The sequence below is a fragment of the Homo sapiens genome, chromosome X, assembly GCF_000001405.40.
Source record: "Homo sapiens chromosome X, GRCh38.p14 Primary Assembly".
Taxonomy (NCBI): Eukaryota; Metazoa; Chordata; class Mammalia; order Primates; family Hominidae; genus Homo; species Homo sapiens.
This window is the reverse complement of record NC_000023.11, coordinates 135,247,081-135,271,210: the sequence shown is the minus strand read 5'-3', so window position 1 is coordinate 135,271,210 and position 24,130 is coordinate 135,247,081. Positions and strand designations below refer to the sequence as shown.

Sequence of the window (24,130 nt, the reverse complement as noted above, 5' to 3'; positions counted from 1 at the left end):
GGTACATGAGCTCAGGTCTGTGAAATCTACCAGTCTTACCATGACCCAGAAACACCTGGCCTCATACAGTGCTAGAGCGGCCTGGTGAAAACTCAGTTGTAGCATTATAGAGGAAACAGAAGCCTGCAAGGTTGAAGGGCTGTTCTATAGGATATAACTCAAGTTCTGTACTCACAAGCAACCTATGGAGCCATTCTGCAAAGCCAGGATGGGATAGAGAGTGACCTCTCCCACTCTTATATCCAAAAAATGATTCACAGATTTTCTCTTTTCCTTCTCCCCAAAATAGGAATTGGATGGTTTGGAGGTTAAAATATTCGAGGCAAGATGCCTCTCCCATGGAACATATTCACGGTTCCATTATCTTGGAAACCGACACTGACTCCTTGTCCCCTGCCCATTTTCAGGTCTTTGGGTAACAAGAGTGGGAGTTGAGAAGGGGTCACTGTCCTGAATGGGTGAGGGATCCAGATGACCATGGGGAGTTTGGCTTGTTGCTTCCTAATGTGGGGAAGAGAACTAGTTCTGGACCCAAAGGGATTTAGTATGGCACCACCTAGCACTCCCATGTCCAGCTGTAATATTCCATGAAAAACTGATGCAATTCCATAATGGTATCACTTCCAAGGATTCCTATCTTTCAGCAACAAATTCTTAGGTTATTTCACCGGGTACACATCCACCAACATTTCCAGGTGCTGGCAGAGTATAAGGAAATGGTTTTACAGGGAGGGAGGTAAGATAAATATTTTTTATTTTTATTTTTAATTTTTGTGGGTACATAATATATATGTATATAGGTATGTATAAATATGTGTATATATATATATATATATATATATATATATATATATATATGAGATATTTTGGTAGAGGCCTGCAATGTATAATAATTACATCATGAACAATTGGGTATCCATCTCCTCAAGAATTTATTCTTTGTGTTATAAACAATCCAGTTATACTATTTTAGTTATTTTAAAATGTACAATTAAATTATTATCAACTATGATCCCCCTGTTGTGCTATCAAATACTAGGTCTTATTTAGCTTTCTATTTTTTTTTGTACCCATTAACCATCCCCACCTCCCTCACTGCTCCCTCACTGTATTTCCTAGCCTCTGGCAACCATCCTTCTATTCTCTATATCCATGAGTTCAATTGTTTTGATTTTTAGACCATATACATAAATGAGAACATGTGATGTTCATCTTTTTGTGCCTGGCTTACTTTGCTTAACATAATGACCTCCGCTTTTATCCAGGTTGTTGCAAATGAAAGAATCTCATTCTTTTTATGACTGAATAGTAATCCATTGTGTTTATGTACCACATTTTCTTTATCCATTCTTCTGTTGATGGACACTTAGGTTGCTTCCAAATCTTAGTTATTGTGACCAGTGCGGCAATAAACATGGGAGTGCCGATATCTCTTTGATATACTAATTTTATTTGCTGTATATACTCAGCAGTGGAATTGTTGGATCCTGTGGTAGCTCTATTTTTAGTATTTTGAGTATCCTTCAAACTGTGTTCTATGGCAGTTGTAGTAATTTATATTACCACCAAAGATGTAGAAGTGTTCCCTCTTCTCCAGATCTTCACCAGCATTTGTTATTGCCTCACTTCTGGAAAAATAACACGTTAGCTGTGGTGAGATGATATCCAAATGTAGTTTTGATTGGTATTTCTCTGATGATCAATGATGTTGAGGACCTTTTCATATGTCTCTTTGTCATTTGTATGTTTTAAGAAATGTCTATTCAGATCTTTTGTCCATTTTTAACTGGATTATTTGATTTTTTCCTGTAGAGATTTTTGTGCTCCTTATATGTTCTGGTTAATTCATCCTTTGCCAGATGGGCACTTTGCAAAAATTTTGTCCTACTCTGTGAGTTGTCTCTTCCCTTTGTTGGTTGTTTCTTTTGCTGTGCAGAAGGTTTTTCACTTGATATGATCCCATTTGTCCATTTTTGCTTTGGTTGTCTGTGCTTGTGGGTTGTTACTCAAGACATTTTTGCCCAGACCAACGTCCTGGAGATTTCCCCCAATGTTTTCTTGTTTGTAGTTTCAAGTTTGAGGTCTTAAGTTTAAGTCTTTAATTCATTTTTATTTTACTTTTGTATATGGTGAGAGATAGGGGGTCTAGTTTCATTCTTCAGTTTATGGATATCCAGGTTTCCGAGCACCATTTATTGAACAGACTGTCTTTTCCCCAGTGTATGTTCTTGGCACCTTTGTCAAAAATGAGCTCACTGTAGGTGTTGTGGATTTTCTTCTGTGTTCCCTGTTCTGTTACATTGGTCTATGTGTCTGTGTTTATGCCGGTACCATGCTGTTTTGATTCCTATAGCTCTGTATTATAATCTGAAGTCAGGTAATGTGATTCCTGTAGTTTTCTTCTTTTTGCTCAGGACAGCTTTGGCTCTTCTGGGTCTTTTGTGGTTCCATAAACATTTTAGGATTTTTTTTTTCTATTTTTGTGAAGAATGTCATTGGTGTTTTAATAGGGATTGCATTGAATCTGTAGGCTGCCTTGGGTAGTATGGACATTTTAATGATATTATTCTTCCAATCCATGAACATGGAATATCTTTCTATTATTTTGTGTTGTCTTCAATTGCTTTCATCACTGTGTTATACTTTTCATAATAGACATGCTTCACTTATTTGGTTAATTCTTAGGTATTTAATTTTATTTCTGAGTATTGTAAATGGGACTAATTATTGACTTCTTCATATTGTTCACTGTTGGCATATAGAAAGGCTACTGATTTTTGTATATTGATTTTGTAATGTGCAACTTTCATAAATTTATCAGTCCTAATACTTATTTGGTGGAGTTTTTAGTTTTTTCCAAATATAAGATCATATTATCTGCAAACAAGTATGATTTGACTTCTTCCCTTGCAATTTTAATGCCCTTTATTTCTTTCTCTTGTCTGACTGCCCTAGGTAAGACTTTCATTATTATGTTGAATAACAGTGGTGACATTGGGCATCCTTGCCATGTTTCAGATTTTAGAGGAAAGGCTTTCAATTTTTCCCCATTCAGCATACTAGATGTGGGTTTGTCCTACATGGCTTTTATTATGCTGAAGTATGTTCCTTCTATATCCAGCTTTTGAGGATTTTTACCATGAAGAAATATGGACTTTATGAAATGCACTTTTAACATCAATCAAAAGGATCATATGTTTTTGTCCTTCATTCTGTTGATGTGATGTATCACGTTGATTGATTTGTATATGTTGAATCATCCTTGAATCCCTGGGATAAATCCCACTTGTTCATGATGAGTGATCTTTTTAATGTATTGTTGAATTCTGATTGCTGGTATTTGGATGAGGATTTCTGCATTAATACTCATCAGATATATTGGTCTGTAGGTTTTTTTTTTTTTTGGTGTATCTTTGTCTAGTTTTGGTATCAGGGTAATACTGGTCTTGCAGAATGAGTTTGGATGTGTTCCCTTCACTACTTTTCAGAACAGTTTTGAGTAGAAGAGATATTAATTCTTCTTTAAATGTTTGATAGAATTCAGCACTGGAATATTGTGTCCTGGATTTTTCTTTGCTGGGACACTTTTCCTGACAGCTTTTTGCTCCTTACTTGTTGTTGATCTGCTCAGGTTTTGGATTTCTTCCTTGTTTAATCTTTGTAGGTTGGATATGTCTAGCAGTTTATTCATTTCTTCTAGATTTTTCAATGTATTGGCAAATAGTTGTTCATAGTAGCCATTAATGATTTTTTGAATTTCTGTGGTATCAGTTGTAATCTCTCCCTTTTCATCTCTGATTTTATTTATTTGGGTCTTCTCCATTTTTTTCTTAGCCAGTCTGGCTAAAGGTTTGCCAATTTTGTTTATCTTTTAAAAAAACTGAGCTTTTGTTTCATTGGTCTTTTGTATTGTTTTCTTCATTTTTCACATTCGTTTATTTATGCTCTGCTTTTTATTATTTCTGTTATTATAATTTTGGGTTCAGTTTGCTCTTGCTTTTCTAGTTCTTTAAGATGCATCATTAGGTTACTTATTTGAAGTTTTTCTTCTTTTTTGATATAGGCACTTATAGCTATAAACTTCCCTCTTGGTACTGATTTTGCTATATCCCATATGTTTTGGTATGTTGGGCTTCCATTATCATTTTTTCAAGAAATTTTTCAATTTCCTTCTTTATTCTTTCATTGACCCACTGGTCATTCATGGGTATGCTGTTTAATTTCCATGTGTTGGTATAATTTCAAAAATTCATCTTCTTGTTGATTTCTAGTTTTATTCCATTGTGGTCAGAAAAGATGCTTGATATTTTTTCAATGTTTATGATTGTTTTAAGACTTGTTTTGTGACCTACCCTTGAGAATGATCCATGTGTCGAGGAAAAGATTGTATTCTGCAGCCATTGGATGAAATGTTCTGTAAATATCTATTAAGTCCATTTGTTCTATAGTGCAGATTAACTTTGATGTTTCTTTGTTGATTTTCAGTCTGGGAGATCTGTCTAATGCTGAAGTTGGGATGTTGAAGTCTCCAGCTATAATTGTATTGGGGTCTATATATTTCTTTATCTCTAATAATATTTGCCTTACATATCTGGGTGCTCCAGTGTTGGATGCATATATATTTACAATCCTTATATGCTCTTGCTGAATTGACCCCTTTATCATTACATAAGGACCTTCCTTGTCTCTTTTTATAGGGTTTTCCCTGAAACCTCTTTTGTCCAATACAAGTGTGGCTACTCTTGTTCTTTTTGGGCTTCAACTGGCGTGGAATATCTTTTTACATCTTTTTATTTTCAGTCTGTGTGTATATTTATGAGTGAAGTATGTTTCTTGCAGGCAACAGATGATTGGGTCTTGTTTTTTCATTCATTCAGCTACTCTATGTCTTTTGATTGAAGAGTTTAGCCAATTTACATTCATTGTTATTATTGATAAATAGGAACTTACTTCTGCAATTTTGTTATTTGTTTTCTGGTTGTTTTGTGGTCTTCTCTTCCTTCTTTCTTTCCTTCCTGTCTTCCTCTTAGTGAAGGTGATTTTCTCTGGTGTATGTTTTAATTTCTTGCATTTTATTTTTGTGTATGTGTTATATGTTTTTTGATTTGAGGTTACCATGAGGCTCAAAAATACTATCTTATAACCCATTATTTTGAACTGATGAGAACTTAATACTGATTGCATAAACAAGCAAGCATGCAAAAAGAAAACTAATAATAATTCAACACTTTAACTTCATCCCTCTGCTTTTTAAGTTTTTATTGTTTCTTGTTATGTCTTATTCTACTGTCCCTGTCTTGAAAAGTTGTTGCAGTTATTATTTTCTTTCATTCATCATTTAGTCTTTCTACTTATGTCAACTGTAGTTTACATAACACAATTACGGTGCTATAGTAGTCTATGTTTTTCTGTGAGCTTACTAATACCAGTGAGTTTTGTACCTGCTGATGTTTTCTTCTTGCTCATTACCATCATTTTCTTTCAGATTGAAGAACTCTGTTTAGTATTTCCTGTAGTAGAGGCCTGGTGTTTATGAAGTCTCTCAGCTTTTGTTTGTCTGGGAAGGTCTTTATTTCTTCTTCATGCTTAAAGGACAGTTTTGCCTATGTGCTTTTATTCTAGGGTAAAACTTTATTTCCTTTACCACTTTAAATATGTCATGCCACTGTCTCCTGGCCTATAAGGTTTCCATCGAAAAGTCTGCTTCCAGATGTATTGGCACTCCATTGTACGTTATTTGTTTCTTTTCTCTTGCTGTGTATAGGATCCCTTCTTTATATTTGACCTCTGAGAGCTTGATTATTAAATGCTTTGAGGTAGTCTTCTTTAGGTTAAACCTGCTTGGTGTTCTATAGCCTTCTTGTACTTGGATGTTGACATTCTTCTCTACCTTTGAGAAATTCTCTGATATTACCCCTTTGAATGAACTTTCTACCCCTGTCTCTCTTTCTACATCCTCTTTAAGGCCAATAACTCTTTTTTTTTTTTTTTGAGACAGAGTTTCACTCTTGTTGCCCAGGCTAGAGTGTAATGGCGTGAACTCAGCTCACTGCAACCTCTGCCTCCCGGGTTCAAGCGATTCCTCTGCCTCAGCCTCCCGAGTAGCTAGGATTACAGGCACATGCCACCACACCTGGCTAATTTTTGTATTTTTAGTAGAGATGGGGTTTCACCATTTTGGCCAGGCTGGTCTCGAACTTCTGACCCCGTGATCTGCCCGCCTTGGCCTCCCAAAGTGCTGGGATTACAGGCGTGAGACACTGCTCCCGGCCTAAGGCCAATAACTCTTAGATTTGTTCTTTTGAGGCTATTTTCTAGATCCTGTAGGCATTCTTCACTGTTTTTTATTATTTTTTCTTTTGTCTCCTCTGATTATGTATTTTCAAACATCCTGTCTTCAGATTCACTAATTATTTCTTCTGCTTGATAAATTCTGCTATTAAGAGACTGATGCATTCTTCATGATGTCATTTGCATTTTTCAACTCTAGAATTTCTGCTTCATTCTTTTTTAATTATTTCAATCTTTTGTGAAATTTATCTGCTAGAATTCTGAATTCCTTCTCTGTGTTATTTTGAATTTATTTTTCTCAAAACAGCTAATGTTTAATTCTTTGTCTGAAATGCCACATATCTCTGTTTCTCATGAATTGGTCCCTGCTGCCTTATTTAGTTCATTTGTTTAGGTCTTGTTTTTCTGGATGGTGTTGATGCTTGTAGATGTTCATCTGTGTCTAGGCATTGCAAAGTTAGGTATTCATTGTAGTCTATGCAGACTGGGCTTGTTTGTGCTTGTCCTTCTGGGGAAGGCATTTATTATGGTTTGGCTCTGTGGCCGCACCCACACGTCATGTTGAATTGTAATAGCCACATGTTAAAGGAGGGGCCTTGTGGGAGGTGATTGGATCATGGGGGCGGATTTTGCCCCTGCTCTTCTCGTGATAGTGAGTTCTCATGAGATCTGATGGTTTAAAAATGTGTGGCACTCCCTCCTTTGCTGTCTGTCTCTCCTGCTCCACCATGTGCTTGCTTCCCCTTCTGCTATGAGTGTAAGTTTCCTGAGGCCTCCAAGTCACGTTTCCAGTTAAGCCTGAAGAACTGTGAGTCAATTAATCCTCTTTTCTTCATAAATTGCCCAGTCTCAGGTAGCTCTTTATAGCAGTGTGAAAATGAACTAACACACCATTCTAAGGAATTTGAAGGGATGAAGACTCATAGAGGCACCACCTTGGTGGTCTTAGATAAGATCTCTGAGGGGGCGTTCCAAGATGGCCAAATAGGAACAGCTTCGGTCTGCAGCTCCCAGCGTGATCGACTCAGAAGATGCGTGATTTCTACATTTCCAACTGAGGTACCTGTTTCATCTCACTGGGACTGGTTGGACAGTGGGTGCAGCCCACAGAGGGCGAGCTGAAGCAGGGCGGGGTGTCGCCTCACCCAGGAAGCACAAGGGGTCAGGGGATTTCCTTTTCCTAGCCAAGGGAAGCTGTGACAGACTATCTGGAAAAACGGGACACTCCCTGCCCAAATACTGTACTTTTCCCAAGGTCTTAGCAACTGGCAGACAAGGTGATTCTCTCCTGTGCCTGGCTTGGCGGGTCCCACACCCACGGAGCCTTGCTTACTGCTAGCCCAGCAGTCTGAGTTCGATCTGCGAAACAGCAACCTGGCTAGGGGAGGGGCGTCCGCCATTGCTGAGGCTTGAGTAGGTAAACAAAGTGGCAGGGGCAGCTCAAACTGGGACGAGCCCACTGCAGCTCAACAAGGCCTACTACCTCTAGACTCCACCTCTGTGGGTAGGGCTTAGCTGAACAAAAGGCAGCAGACAACTTCTGCAGACTTAAACATCCTTGTCTGACAGCTCTGAGGAGAGCAGTGGTTCTCCCAGCACAGTGTTTGAGCTCTGAGAATGGACAGACTATGTCCTCAAGTGGGTTGCTGACCCCTGTGTAGCCCAACTGGGAGACACCTCCCAGTAGGGGCCGACAGACACCTCGTGTAGGCGTCTACCCCTCTGGGATGAAGCTTCCAAAGGAAGGATCAGGCAGCAATATTTGCTGTTCTGAAATATTTGCTGTTCTTCAGCCTCCGCTGGTGATACCCAGGCAAACAGGGTCTGGAGTGGAACTCCAGCAAACTCCAACAGACCTGCAGCTGAGGGGCCTGACTGTTAGAAGGAAAACTAACAAACAGAAAGGAAAAGCAACAACATTAACAAAAAGGTCATCTACACCAAAATCCCATCTGTAGGTCACCAACATCAAAGACCAAATGTAGATAAAACCACAAAGATGGGGAGAAAGCAGAGCAGAAAAGTTGAAAATTCTAAAACTCAGAGCACCTCTTCTCCTCCAAAGGATGGCAGCTCCTCGCCAACAACAGAACAAAGCTGGATGGAGAATGATTTGATGAGTTGACAAAGGTAGGCTTGGGAAGGTCAGTAATAACAAACTTCTCCAAGCTAAAGGAGGATGTTTGAGTCCATCGCAAGGAAGCTAAAAACCTTGAAAAAAGATTAGACGAATGGCTAACTAGAATAAACAGTGTAGAGAAGACCTTAAATGACCTGATGGAGCTGAAAACCATGGCATGAGAACTTCGTGATTTATGCACAAGCTTCAATACCAATTCGATCAAGTGGAAGAAAGGGTATCAGTGATTGAAAAAGAAATTAATGAAACAAAGCAAGAAGACAAGGTTAGAGAAAAAAAAGTAAAAAGAAACAAACAAAGCCTCCAAGAAATATGGGACTATGTGAAAAGACCAAATCTACGTTTGATAGGTGTACCTGAAAGTGATGGGGAGAATGGAATCAAGTTGGAAAACACTCTTCAGGATATTATCAAGGAGAACTTCCTCAACCCAGCAAGGCAGGCCAACATTCAAATTCAGGAAATACAGAGAACACCACAAAGATACTCCAGGAGAAGAGCAACCCCAAGACACATAATTGTCAGATTAACCAAGGTTGAAATGAAGGAAAAAGTGTTAAGGGCAGCCAGAGAGAAAGGTCGGGTTGCCCACAAAGGGAAGCCCATCAGACTAACAGTGGATCTCTCGGAAGAAACCCTACAAGCCAGAAGAGAGTGGAGGCCAACATTTAACATTCCTAAAGAAAAGAATTTTCAATCCAGAATTTCATATCCAGCCAAACTAAGCTTCATAAGTGAAGGAGAAATAAAATCCTTTACAGACAAGCAAATACTGAGAGATTTTGTCACCACCAGGCCTGCCTTACAAGAGCTCCTGAAGGAAGCACTATACATGAAAACAACCAGTACCAGTCACTGCAAAAACATGCCAAATTGTAAAGACCATCGATGCTATGAAGAAACTGCATCAATTAACGGGCAAAATAACCAGCGAACATCATAGTGACAGGATCAAATTCACACTTAACAATATTAACCTTAAAGGTAAATAAGCTAAATGCCCCAATTAAAAGACACAGACTGGCAAATTGGATAAAGAGTCAAGACCCATCAGTGTGCTGTATTCAGCAGACCCATCTCACGTGCAGAGACGCACATAGGCTCAAAATAAAGGGATGGAGAAAGATCTACCAAGCAAATGGAAAACAAAAAAAAGCAGGGGTTGCAACCCTACTCTCTGATAAAACAGACTTTAAACCAACAAAGATCAAAAGAGACAAAGAAGGCCATTACATAATGGTAAAGGGATCAATTCAACAAGAAGAGCTAACTATCCTAAATATGTATGAACCCAATACAGGAGCACCCAGATTCATAAAGCAAGTCCTTAGAGACCTGCAAAGAGACTTAGCTCCCACACAATAATAATGGGACACTTTAACACCCCACTGTCAATATTAGACAGATCAACAAGACAGAAGGTTAACAAGGATATCCAGGACCTGAACTCAGCTCTGCAACAAGCAAACCTGATAGCCATCTACAGAACTCTCCACCCTAAATCAACAGAATATACATTCTTCTCAGCACCACATCACACTTACTCTAAAATTGACCACATAGGTGGAAGTAAAGCACTGCTCAGCAAATGTAAAAGAACAGAAATCACAACAAACTGTCTCTCAGACCACAGTGCAATCAAATTAGAACTCAGAATTCAGAAACTGACTCAAAACCACACAACTACATGGAAACTGAACAACTTGCTCCTGAATGACTACTGGGTAAATAACGAAGTGAAGGCGGAAATAAAGATGTTCTTTGAAACCAATGAGAACAAAGACACAACATACCAGAATCTGTGAGACACATTTAAAGCAGTGTGTAGAGGGAAATTTATAGCACTAAATGCCCACAGGAGAAAGCAGGAAAGATAAAATCGACACCCTAACATCACAATTAAAAGAACTAGAGAAGCAACAGCAAACAAATTCAAATGCTAGCAGAAGGCAAGAAATAACTAAGATCAGAGCAGAACTGAAGGAGATAGAGACACAAAAAACCCTTCAAAAAAATCAATGAATCCAGGAGCTGGTTTTTTGAAAAGATTGACAAAATTGATAGACCGCTAGCAAGACTAATAAAGAAGAAAAGAGAGAAGAATCAAATATACACAATAAAATATAATGATAAAGGGGATATCACCACCGATCCCACAGAAATACAAACTACTATCAGAGAATATTATAAACAGCTCTATGCAAATAAACTAGAAAATCTAGAAGAAATGGATGAATTCCTGGACACATACACCCTCCCAAGACCAAACCAGGAAGAAGTTGAGTCTCTGAATAGACCAATAACAGGCTCTGAAATTGAGACAATAATTAATAGCCTACCAACCAAAAAAAGGCCAGGACCAGACGGATTCACAGCCGAATTCTACCAGAGGTACAAAGAGGAGCTGGTACCATTCCTTCTGAAACTATTCCAATCAATAGAAAAAGAGGAAATCCTCCCTAACTCATTTTATGAGGCCAACATCACCCTGATACCAAAGCCTGGCAGAGACACAACAAAAAAAGAAAATTTTAGACCAATATCCCTGATGAACATCTATGCGAAAATCCTCAATAAAATACTAGCAAACTGAATCCAGCAGCACATCAAGAAGCTTCTCTGTCATGATCAAGTGGGCTTCATCCCTGGGATGCAAGGCTGGTTCAACATATGCAAATCAATAAATGTAATTCATCACATAAACTGAACCAACAACAAAAAGCACATGATTATCTCAAGAGATGCAGAAAAGGCCTTTGACAAAATTCAACAGCCCTTCATGCTAAAAACTCTCAATAAACTAGGTACTGATGGAACGTATCTCAAAATAATAAGAGCTATTTATGACAAACCCACAGCCAATATCATACTGAATGGACAAAAACTGGAAGCATTCCCTTTGAAAACCGGCACAAGACAAGTATGCCCTTTCTCACCACTCCTATTCAACATAGCGTTGGAAGTTCTGGCCAGGACAATCAGGCAAGAGAAGGAAATAAAGGGTATTCAATTAGGAAATGAGGAAGTCAAATTGTCCCTGTTTGCAGATGACATGATTGTATATTTAGAAAACCCCATCGTCTCAGTCCAAAATCTCCTTAAGCTGATAAGCAACTTCAGCAAAATCTTAGGATACAAAATCAATGTGCAAAACTCACAAGCATTCCTATACACCATTAAGACAAACAGAGAGCCAAATCATGAATGAACCCCCATTCACAATTGCTACAAAGAGAATAAAATGCCTAGGAATACAACTTACAAGGGATGTGAAGGACCTCTTCAAGGAGAACTAGAAACCACTGGTGAAGGAAATAAAAGAGGACACAAACAAATGGAAGAACATTCCATGCTCATGGATAGGAAGAATCAATATCGTGAAAATGGTCATACTGCCCAAAGTAATTTATAGATTCAATGCCATCCCCATCAAGCTACCAATGACTTTCTTCACAGAATTGGAAAAAATTACTTTAAAGTTCATATGGAAGCAAAAAAGAGCCTGCATTGCCAAGACAATCCTAAGCCAAGAGAGCAAAGCTGGAGGCATCACACTACCTGACTTCAAAGTGTACTACAGGGCTACAGTACCCAAAACAGCATGGTACTGGTACCAAAACAGAGATATAGACCAATGGAACAGAACAGAGCCCTCAGAAATAACGCCACACATTTACAACCATCTGATCTTTGACAAACCTGACAAAAACAAGAAATGGGGAAAGGATTCCCTATTTAATAAATGGTGCTGGGAAAACTGGCTAGCCATATGTAGAAAGCTGAAACTGGATCCCTTCCTTACACCTTATACAAAAATTAATTCAAGATGGGTTAAAGACTTAAATATTAGACCTAAAACCGTAAAAACCCTTGAAGGAAACCTAGGCAATACCATTCAGGACATAGGCATGGGCAAGGACTTCATGACTAAAACATCGAAAGCAATGGCAACAAAAGCCAAAATATACAAATGGGATTTAATTAAACTAAAGAGCTTCTGTGCAGCAAAGAAACTACCATCAGAGTGAACAGGCAACCTACAGAATGGGAGAAAATTTTTGCAATCTACTCATCTGACAAAGGGCTAATATCCAGAATCTACAAAGAACTCAAAGAAATTTGCAAGAAAAAAACAAACAACCCCATCAAAACGTGGGCAAAGGATATGAATAGACACTTCTCAAAAGAAGACATCTATGCAGCCAACAGGGACATGAAAAAAAGCTCCTCATCATTGGTCATCAGAGAAATGCAAATCAAAACCACCATGAGATACCATCTCACACCAGTTAGAATGGCAATCGTTAAAAAGTCAGGAAACAACAGATGCTGTAGAGGATGTGGAGAAATAGGAACACTTTTACACGTTGATGGGAGTGTAAATTGGTTCAACCATTGTGGGAGACAGTGTGGCGATTCCTCAAGGATCTAGAACTAGAATTACCATTTGACCCAGTAATCACATTACTGGGTATATACCCAAAGGATTATAAATCATGCTACTATAAAGACACATGCACACGTATGTTTATTGCAGCACTATTCACAATAGCAAAGACTTGGAACCAGTCCAAATGTCCATCAATGATAGACTGGATTATACACCATGGAATACTATGCATTCATAAAAAATGATGAGTTCATGTCCTTTGTAGGGACATGGATGAAGCTGGAAACCATCATTCTCAGCAAAGTATCACAAGGACAGAAAACCAAACACTGCATGTTCTCACTCATAGGTGGTAATTGAACAATGAGATCACTTGGACACAGGGCAGGGAACATCACACACCAGGGCCTGTTGGGTGGTGGGGGGGCTCCGGGAGGAATAGCGTTAGGAGAAATACCTAATGTGAATGATGAGTTGATGGGTGCAGCAAACCAGCATGGCACATGTATAAAACCAGCATGTTGTGCACATATATTCTAGAATTTAAAGTATAATAATAATGATGATAATAATAATAATAAAAGATCTCTAAGAATTCCTTGGATTGCCATGCGGAGACCTCCCCTCCTCCAGAAACAGATGCCATGCAAATGGAGTATGGTGCTCTGTGCTGAACACCTGGCACTGGCTTGTGGTGATGCAAGTCCTCTGTGGCTACCACCACTGGGACTGTACTGGGCCTGACGTGAAGCCATCACAGCAGTGGGCCTTGCCCAAGGTCATTCCCTTCAAGGCAGGGAGTTCCCCCAGGTTCTGGGTATGTCCAGAGATGCAGTCTGGGAGCCAGGGATTAGAGTAAAATACCTTCGCAATTTACCTTTTGTTTTGTTCGACTGCAGCTAAGCTGGCGCTCCAACTACGATACAGTTTTCCCACTCTTCCCTCCCCTTTGCAAAAGTATAGGAGTCTCTCCCTGTGGCCACCATCACCACTGGTCCATGGGGAGTTCTGTCAGGCCATCACTGATGTTCACTTAAAGCCCAAGGGCTCTTCCATCAGCTTGTAGTGAATGCTACCAGGCCTGGGGCTCACTCTGCAGGGCAGTGGGCTCCCGTATGGCCCAGGGCGGGTCCAGAAATGCTAAGAGCTGAGGCCTGGACTCGAGGACCCCAACAGCCTGCTTCTTGCTCTACTGCACTGGCTGAGCTGGTACTTAGGGTCTAATACAAAGTCCCCTTTACTTTTCTCTGTTCTTGTTTCAAATGGAAGGAGTCCTTCACCATAGCTGGGAGGACGCTGGGTCATCCCTGAAGTCAGCACGCCTCAGAGCCCAAGGCCCATGGCTTACTCCCTGCATCTCGCTGGGTGTTATTCAGTGCCCAAGGGCTCTTTAGTCAGCAGGTGATAGGTCCTGCCAGGACTGGGTCCTTTCCTTCAAGGCAATGGGCTCCCTTCTGGCCTAGTGTGCATCTAGAAATGTCGCCCAGGAGCTAGGGCCTGGAAAAGGAGCCTTACAACTCTGCCCAGTGCCCTATTCTACTGTGATTCAGCTGGTATCAAAGATGCAACATAATGTCCCCTTTAATGTGTTAGTCCATTTTTATACTGCTATAAAGGACTACCTTTATTCACTCTCCTCTCCTTAAGCAGAAGTAAGGGGACGTTTTAATTGCTATGAGCTGCACTACCAGGGGTTGGAGGAGGGATGGCACAAGGGCTCCGCTAGTCATGTCAGCTGCTGTCTCCCTAGGTCACGTGCCACCTGAGTTCACTGGTTGTAAGCCCAGTCCAGCACTAGGATTTCCTTAGAAACTGCAGTCGTTGTGTCCTAGACTGCCTTTTAAGTTTACACAGGACTCTAGAGCGCTTTTGCCCACAGTGGCGAGGCTTGAGAAGAAGCTCAAGTTTCAACTGATGGGAAGGGTGATTCTTCTGGCGAGGGCTGGTCCAAATGCACCCCCCCACACACACACCTGTGTGTGGGCACTGGCTGCACCCTGCATGGATTTGTTTTCAGCTGTGATAGGGCAGCATTGAGTTCAAGGTAAAGTCCCCCACTTGCTGCACTCTCCCTCCCCAAAGTGCACAGACTCTCCACGCTGGTGGATGGAGGAGGGGTAGCATTGGTGGTTCCAGACTACCTCTCTTGCCCTGTGCAATGCCTCTTTCAGTGATATGAAGTTAAAACCAGGTGATGTGATTGCTCACCTAATTCTTGGTTCTTGTGGCAGTGTTTTTTGTGTGCAGATAGTCGTTAAAATCTGGTGTTCCAGTGAAGGGAGATGGGATGAGTGGTGTAGGTTTCTATTCTGCCATCTTCATCTATCCCCTGCCAAGGTGACTTTCCCTTCACCCAGTCAATGTGAATGTGTAGGAAACTTTCTTGTAACCATTAGAGTTACAACTTAGGTTCCACATGGTATTATAATCAAATTGACCTCATCTGTTATGATAAGATGGCTCACAACACTGTGTATGCTACCATGTGTTGGGCAAGGGTTTTATTCCTCTGATTAAAGCAACAGTGGTGGAACAGTAATGGAAGTAGAAAAAAGTGGTGAATTGATTTGATTCTTCTCAGTTTGTCCAACTAGATATATGCTTCTCTGCAGGGCTGTGTGTTCCAGAAGGCTGATACCATGGAAGACATCACCTTGGCTTCCTGGCTGTCTGGTTAGTGATTTGAGCAATGAGAGGCAGCAGCTAGAAATGAAAGAGTAGAAGAAGAGAGTGTCTCCTGACACTGTGTGCATGGTCTCCAGTCAGCCTCTGATTCCTGTGAGTCAGCTGCATCCAGATTCCCACCCCCTTCCCCGTCCCGAGAAGGTTACATTTGGCCGCCACTAAGATCTCCTGAGAAAAATCTCTTCAGAGGAATTTTGGCCAAATCTTCTCTCCCTCTCCTACAGCCACTTTCCTCCTGAATTTCTTCCTTGTGAGTGTCACTTCTGGAAACAAAAGTCAAGTTCTCTAGGTGAACACTGAGTAGCCCCAACCTTCCAGTGAATTTGAAGTGTAGGAAGTTTTCCTCGTTTAAACTCGGCACAGCCTCCAATCCCTGGGAAGCATGCCTCTCTGGTCTCCAACCCACCCAGACTTCCAGTGTGAGTAGACACCTGTAGGTGAGTGAGTGGTCAGAGGTCACATGATTGTGATTACCTTCTTTACCAGGCCTCCATTGTTAGGCAACTCCTTGCAAGATGGGAAATAGTTGGTACCAATTGTTTTGGGGCACTAGTCAAGTCGGAAAGTGGACAGAGTTCCACTTGAATGTGCTGCTGCTCTAGTTTGGATAACTTTACTGTCTATGTATATACCCAAGTACTGCTTGGCACAGTTGGGTTTCTCTTTGGTACATAATTCTGTGCTACTTGTTTTCTCACTCAGTATGATGGTGAGATTTATCCACACATAACTCTGTATCCTAAATTCTGTCTCTTCTGTTGTGTGGCCATGGAGTGTAGGAGGTTGGCTGTTATTGGCCTCTGCTCCTGTGGGTTTGGCTCCTTCTTGCCCTACCTGCTGCCCTTTCAGCCTCCATTCCCCACCTATTCTCCACCTCACAGCCACTGTTTGATGCTGGGCTGCAGGTAAATAGTCACCGACATAGCAGTGTCCAGGCAGCGTTCCTCCCAACGGTGCACCCAGGAGGCCCCTCTACCTGGCAGCCTCTAACCCCTCCTCTCCATCCTACAGCCAGCTGCGTCCTCTGAGGAGAGGCTGGTGGCTCTTTTTTGGCGATGCTGCATCAGTGCAGGGACAGAGAAGGTGACAGGGACAAAGAGGACAGTGAAAAGGACATAGAGCAGTTTAACTTCGTACCACATAAAAAATCTGGAAGAGACCTGGCTAAGGGAAGAGAGAGTAACAGCCCCTTAGATGTAGGCGGGGGAGGGGACACAGGAAGGGGCCTTGGGGAATGCTGGACAGGTTGTGAGAACACAGGGAATTGGGGAGGAGGGGAAGAGGGGACAGAGGACTGCTTGCAGGGGCTTATTTTGCAGCTCACGTGAAAGGACAAGAGAAATGCTTGGAATCTGTGATGGCTTTAATGGTTCACCTTATGTAAATTTCATCTTACTCCTCACTTAGGCTTGCCCATGTTTGCCACGGCTCTGACCTCTTTGCTCTCCCTGTCCCCTCTTCAGCTTTAACTCTCACTTGTCAGTGACCAATTGCCCACATAGTTCCCATTTCAGGTTTCTCAGAATGAGTATCTGACTTGCTCAGCACATTCCTTGGGGACAGAGCTTCTTCAATGGGAGCCATCTCATGTGTGTTGTTGTCCTACCAGGTGGCTTCATTTCAGTCAAATGAATTATCTTTGGCTGTGGCCTGAGCAGGTTTGTTTGACATGACACAAAAAAGTGACCAGAGCATTCTATACTTTCCTGGGGACAAAGGGCAGAGCGGTTGCCTCTGGAAGGCTCTGTGGATATGACATTGGCAGTATTAAAACATATCCCAAACCCCCAGGCCAACTGTTGGTCTGCTCTTAAACAATGTCTTTTCACTAGGACAAGCATTGGGTTTTAGAGGGGAACACCAGGGCAGTCTCTTCAAAATGGCTAGGGAGAAGAGTCTTTGGTCCTTAAATGCCAAGTACTACATCACTTTGACTTTGCAGTGTTTTTCAGATTGATGGTGGGAGAGATCTGGTGTGCAGCATGATCTCACCCTCTCCCCTGGGTCTAAGCACCCCTGCACAGCGTGTTAGGATGAACAGAAGCCCCTTCCAGTGTAACCCAAGAACACCCTGTCAGCAAACACACATCCAACCTCAAGGAGTGAAATGACAGACTCTGTTTTAATGACTCAAACATGGGAGGAGTTTATTGTTCTAATTATATTTAATTTCTCAAAAATATGGGCAGGCTTCAGCACGTAAGCCACATGACTTTTTGTCCAAGGCCATGTCCACCCTAGAGTTGCTTTATGACAGCATCCACACCCATCTTGACAGGTCGATGTCACTTCTGTGCCTGCCCAGTTGTCTGTTGATTAAAAAGATCAGCACATTTTCGGTGGGCTTCTTGCGTTTGAAGGATTTGTCTGACTTCTTGATGTTCAGTGCGGGCTCCCTGGGACTGCCTTTAGGGACTTCTTTATCCATGATGTGTTGACTCCACCCAACCTCAGTAAAACAGCACAACCGAGGAAGTCTGAAAAAGATGATGTATTCTAGGTAATCAAGTGTACCCGGCAACCTCTTCCTCACTGGCACAAAACCACACACACACACACACACACACACACACCCCCATACACACACACACTGCTACCAGCAGTAGTCACAGGAGATTGCTTTGGGTCATCATCTGATTTGAAGCACCAACCATATTGTTTCTTCTATCTGTCTTACACATGGGGCTGTGCAGCAGCCTGATGGGACCCGGGACATTAAAGACACACTATTGCATCCCTCTAATCATTACCTGACACACACAGGCTTGTTAGATTGTACTCAAAACACTACCTCATAGCTCAAATGTCATTGTAATTCTTATATCCACACTAATTTTAACTCAATTCTATGTTGCTCTTTTTCAGAGCTGCCTCTTCTCACCTCTGAGTTTTCCCTGTACCTGGGATATGGGCTTCCTTCTGAACTCCATTATTCATGTTATGCAGAGTAATTCTCTTTGGTAAATCTATCCATGACAAAGTTCAGTACTTTACATTTGCATTTCTTCATTCTACAACTTGCAGGCTGCTATAATTTGTTTCCTCATTCCAAATCTCTTTATGTGACTTTAGCTTCAAATAGGATTTGCCTCCTTTGAAAATCACTGGTGAAGCAGGTATGAATCTTACTCCAAACCCCTGTGTAAGAGATAAACTGGACATTCTCAAGTACTACCGAGTTTCTGTTTCTAAGGTCCATCCTGCTGATTTTCCATCCTGGGAACGTAATCACAGTGGCTTAAAGATTGTACTCACCTCTGATGCCTGGCCCTGCCTCATCCCCAAAAACCCAGTTCTGCATTTCATTTGAATCTAGCACAGTGCCAAGGCTAGGGGTGGATGCTCACTGTGTTCTCTATTTTGACCTCCCAAGAGAGACTAAAAGACTTGCCCAAGTGACAGAGAGGTGAGATTGGAACTGAGAAAGCCTGTATCTGAAGCTTCTGCTTTTACCCACTGCTCTGTAGTGTCTCTGTATCAGTTTGAACAAATGACTCTTTGATAACCTCCCCCCATTACCAAACAGGGTTGGGGTTTATCAGGTAGGTTAGTTAGTTAATGGCACAAAAGGATGCTCTATGATCTTGGTATATCAGGATATTTTACCTGTGAGACCACTCAGGTTTCTTCTGAAGAAAGATCTGGGCCAGAGGGTAAACAGTAACAGCTTGGCACTCCCTCTCTTTCCTTGAGTCCCAGGGCCTGATTGGTTCAGCACCAAGTGAAGTCATAGTCACTATGGTGACTCACAATTGTCCTCAGAACCTAGTGCCAACAGTCTGCAAGATTCAAACACTGGCCACCATGCCTGGCTTCCTTCTGGTTCAAGCCTGAATAAGGTGAGTGGAAGTTGCTGGGAGAGGAGGTGGGTATATCCTGTGGCTGGGTGCCATCTGCATGTCTCCTTCCTAGACAGAACCCTCAACTACCCTGGCCTCAGAGCTTGTTCCTGGCTTGTATAAAATCCATTAAAATTTCTCCTTTCTGTAAATAAACAGCACCCATTGCATCTTGCCTTGTCCCCTGGGTAGTGATCAGCAACTTTGTCCGCCATGTTCCAATCCAGGAATTAGTTCCAGGTCAAACTTCCTACCTGCTTCTCAATCTTGCATCCATCTTTGGTCATGACTCTGCAAGTACTCCTCCTATAATACACAATTCATGTAAATGGAGTGTTTAGTTGCAGAAATTGAACACTGCAATTAAACATTGCTGTGTCTCCCACACTTATCTAAACCCTCCCAAAGCTCAGTGCAGTGGAGCCCCTCCCAAAGCTCAATGCAGTGCAGCTTCACACCTTTATTCTGTGGACCTGGGATGCAGGTGGGCTTTTAATGCTTTGGAAAATCTTATGCTAAAACTGGACCAGTTCCTTGAGACATACTCATATGTCTCAAGCCATATTCCCTTCCAAGTCTCTGATCTAGAATAACTACATTGTTGCCATTAAAGTGTGACCCATGTGGGTATTGTCTAGATGCTGGACATGGATTTTCCAGGCTGTCAGAGGGATAACGGTGAGGACAGCGCTTTGTGTTTTTTGTAGTGTGGTTCTCATGAGGAACTAAAATGACTATTATGAGATGTGGCTTGCCTCCACACTGGCTGCCCACTCAGTCTTATGTAAGAACGGAGGAAATTGACGTTACTGTAAAGTGACCCAGGTCGCACACTCCCTTTCTTGAGTGGCAGGGAAGGAAGGCTCACTCCTCCAGGTTTTCTCCTAGCCCCCGTAGAACCATGCTTTACATGGTTCTGAACACCCTGAGGCCGTGTTCAGTGTTCTAAACAATTTGGAGAGGGAAGAGAACATATTGGTGTATTTTATTAACAAAGAAAGTGGAAAACTGTCTTTCTTTTAAGGAATTGACATCCTAGAAATCCAAGTCAATCACCTAGGAAATAGACCAGGAGAGGCTGATTGAGAGAAGTTAAATGCATAAAAACTTTGCATACTAGGTCAGGCACAGTGGCTCTCACCTATAATCCCAGCACTTTGGAAGGCTGAGGGGAGTGGATCGCTTGAGCCCAGGAGTTCAAGACCTCCAGTTGGCCTTGGGTCATATCCAGCATGTTCCAACTGTAAGGCAAAAAGCCCCTAAGGCAGAGAGTCATGGTGATTGCCATAAGCAGCCCTGTAGATGCAAGGATGAGATGTAGCTCTGCAGGGCCAGAGTCTAAATACATAAGTCAGTGTCAGAATCTTTTTGGCACTGTCTGTTCCTTAAATAGGTCAATACTCACCGTTTGTGAAAATTTTCATTGAACTGGAGCTACATTTCCTTTCTATACATAGCATGTTTAAAAAAATTTTTTTTTTAAAGCGACCCAGGTCACACACTCCCTTTCTTGAGTGGCAGGGAAGGAACGCTCAGTCCCGCAGGTTTTCTCCTGGCCACATAGAACCGTGTAAAGACCCTGAGGCCATATTCATTGTCCTAAACAATTTGGAGAGGGAAGATAACTTATCGGTGTATTTTGTTAACAAAGAAAGTGGAAAACTATCTTTCTCTTAAGGAACTGACATCCTAGAAATCCAAGGCAATCACCTAGGAAATAGGTCAGGAGAGGCTGATTGATAGAAGTTAAATGCGTAAAAACTTTGCATACTAGGTGAGGCACAGTGGCTCTCGCCTATAATCCCAGCACTTTGGAAGGCTGAGCGGGGTGGAGCGCTTGAGCCCAGGAGTTCAAGACCAGCCTGGGCAACATAAGGAGACCCCATCTCTACAATAAAAATAAATGAATACATAAATAAATTAAAAATTTGCACAGTCTTCCAATAAATAGGGAATATCATAGATTTAAGCTATCCCATTTACATTGGTTGCAAACGTTATGAAACACCTAGAAAAATAATGAAGGTAAATACAAGGAAAACACACATGCCACTTTTTATGAGCCTTCAGTTTGAATAGTCACATAATATTTTAAAATACTACATTTTTCTTAAGAGGAAGATCAATTTTTTCAATGGCATCAATTCGCCTCTAAATAAATCAGTATATCCAGTACAATCCTAATGATAGTTTATAGCAGAATTTTGAGTGTGTGTGTAACTGGAAGATCGGATGAAATTATATTCCAAAAAAATGTGAAGGATTATGCAAGAGGGGTGGCTTGTCATTCTGGACTCAAAACTTACTCTGTAGTATTGGTGAATGAGACAAGAATTGATAGACATGTCCATGGACCAACGAAGAGATTCTAGAAATATACTCATGCATATGTGAAACTCAAAGAAATTTAAAAATCACAAGTTGCCACAAAGCTGACTTTTATGATTGTGTGTGTGTGTGTGCACATGCACGCATGTGTGTTAGGGAGGAGAAGTGCAGAGAGGCTTCTGGGGCTACTTGATGCTTCTCCTTCAGGTAATTCTAGATTCTATCAACTTTCACAGGTCCCTCTTCTGTGCTGTCTTCCTGAAGCCATCTGTGGAGTCAAGCAGTCATGGCTCAGGGACACTCTGAAGTAGGTCCCAGCACATCTGCATGGAGCATCAGGAGGAAGGTGGATGAATACTTAAGACCCAGCCTGGCCTCTAAATCGGTGCTGAGCGTTTTACTCAGTAGACAGCTTGGGAATCATAGAAACGATGCGGATCTGACAGAGTGGCTGTGGACACTGAAGCAAGCCATACCAGGGTGGACCTGGCCTTTGCCGACACGCCACACAATCAACCCACCTCTGCCCCCTGGGGAGGATGGAAAATCCAAGAAAATGGTGTGGATCAATAAATCCTTCCCCTGATGCAACCATTACAAGTGGAAGCTGTGTTCTCACTGCTTTTGGCTGGACATGGTCTTTGATCACCTGGTTTCTTGACTTCTGACCCGTCTCTGTGTTACCCGAGGCCACAGCAGATGAACTTTACCTACTGCCCTCCGAGAAGGTGTTTACTAACGTTGTAGAGTCTGGGGATGTTGGAGACACGAGGGGCCCTGCTTAGAGAAGCTGGAAGGGCAGCTGAGTGGAACATGGAGAGGCCCTGCAACCCTAAATTTCTAGGGGGAGGGGACTTTCAGGAGCCCACTTAGAGGTCTTGATTTGTCTCCCTTGAAGTTTGGGGGAGAGCATGGGTAGAAATTGAAATCAAATAAATTTAAAATGAGAGTGGCTTGCAGAGTGGGGAGGGAATTCTCGCAAGAGATATACTTCTTAAATTGAGAAAAAAAGAAAGGCAGCTAAAGAGGTAACCAGAAATGCCCAGGAAATAACGAATGGTCTTTCAAGTGTTGGTGCAAAATAACTTTGAGCCTACAATTCTACTTCTAGCCAGACATTCAAGTTCGAGGATAAATTAGCATACAAGGTGTTCAAGTGTGGGTTCCCTGGAAATAGACCCTGAGGCACACTTGTGAGTGGAAAACACTTACTTGGGAGGGAGTCCCAGATAGCACAGGTAAGGGTGTGGGGAGGTGAGACATACAAGGAATGCAGCCAATTTAAGTGGGAGGAATAAGCTAGCAGGTTTCCACTGTGGGCGACTGGAGCTAATTCCCAGGGGAACCCTATGGGAGACTTTGTAGAACACTCTCCTCACATTCATCCCAAGTGCAGAATGAGATGGCTTGGGGGTATTTAGCCACCAAATACCCAACCATTCTTGTTAAAGTACTTCCCCCATGGGAGATATAAATCCCTGTCACCTTCAGTTGGCCTTGGGTCATATCCAGCATGCTCTAAGGGTGAGACAAAAAGCCCCCAAAGCAGAGCGTCACGGCGATTGCCATAAGCAGCCCTATAGATGGAAAGGTGAGACCTAGCTCTGCAGGGCCAGTGTCTAAATACATAAGTCAGTGTCAGAATCTTTTTGGCACCGTCTGTTCCTTAAATAGTTCAATACTCGCCGTTTGTGAAAATTTTCAATGAACTGGAGCTACATTTCCTGTCTATAGATAGCATGTTTTAAGTGTTTTGCCAATTATCAGTTTTAATTGGAAACTGATTGCAGGACCTCTGTCCCAGAGAATTGTGAGATATGTGTTTAGCCATGGAAGGAGCATTGCAGACATCAAAATCTTCCCCTTGGGGAAAAGAAAGCAGGATTTTTGTAGTGTGTCCTGCCTGCAGATGTGCCATGCTGGGTGTTAGGCACAGGTCTGTCCCTGGGATTTCATGGAGATCTTGGGCTGCATTTGTCAGAAACTCTATTCTTGCCATTCAGCCTAGTGGAATCCAAGCTGCAGCGTCTCACCTCTTACTGAGGGGTTCCTCAGCACGTGGAATTTCAAGAACCTCCTCCTCTCCAGGTCTCCCATAGCAGCTGGAACTTTATTCATGTCCCTATCATTACTTTCTCTATGGAACGGGATGAGTAGCTGGTTAGGTTGCTCCCACCCACCTATGCCCATCCAGGCCCACGCTCAGCACACTGTCCCCATAGTGGGTGCCCCTGTCCCCAGGGATTCTTGGAAATGCTGTTCTGGGGTGGTGACTCCATTTCAGCACTGACATAGCCACTGGCAGCAACAGATGGCCTTCTCAAGCTTGTGTTGGGAGTCTAGTAATGAATCCTTTTTGTCGCAGTTCAGATGGGACTCGCAATGCCCAGCTCCACTGCTGTTGCTTTTCACCTTTCTTCTGTCTCCAGTCTTACAAGTCATTGATTATTGAAGAAA

General features: G+C 42.0%; 2 protein-coding genes across 3 annotated transcripts in view; one reads left to right on the top strand and one right to left on the bottom strand.

Moving 5' to 3' along the window:
* ZNF75D (zinc finger protein 75D) overlaps positions 1-22,622 on the top strand; it is a 95,521-nt gene extending 72,899 nt beyond the window's left edge. Inside the window, exons 2-4 of the transcript NR_110381.2 lie at positions 15,434-15,756; positions 19,200-19,345; positions 21,910-22,622. The gene's annotated coding sequence lies outside the window, so the exon portion shown is untranslated. The remainder of the gene's footprint in view (positions 1-15,433; positions 15,757-19,199; positions 19,346-21,909) is intronic.
* ETDA (embryonic testis differentiation homolog A) lies at positions 17,627-19,350 on the bottom strand. Of its 2 annotated transcripts, NM_001355522.1 has the most exons (3): positions 19,113-19,150; positions 18,407-18,644; positions 17,628-17,983 (listed from the first exon to the last, which is right to left on the bottom strand). In NM_001355522.1, exon 3 carries the CDS (start codon positions 17,932-17,934, stop codon positions 17,755-17,757), a length of 180 nt encoding a protein of 59 aa, NP_001342451.1. In that variant the 5' UTR covers positions 17,935-17,983; positions 18,407-18,644; positions 19,113-19,150; the 3' UTR covers positions 17,628-17,754. The 2 variants fall into 2 exon arrangements, with proteins under 2 accessions (XP_024308092.2, NP_001342451.1); XM_024452324.2 differs by lacking the exon at positions 18,407-18,644 and having other exon boundaries at positions 17,627-17,983; positions 19,113-19,350.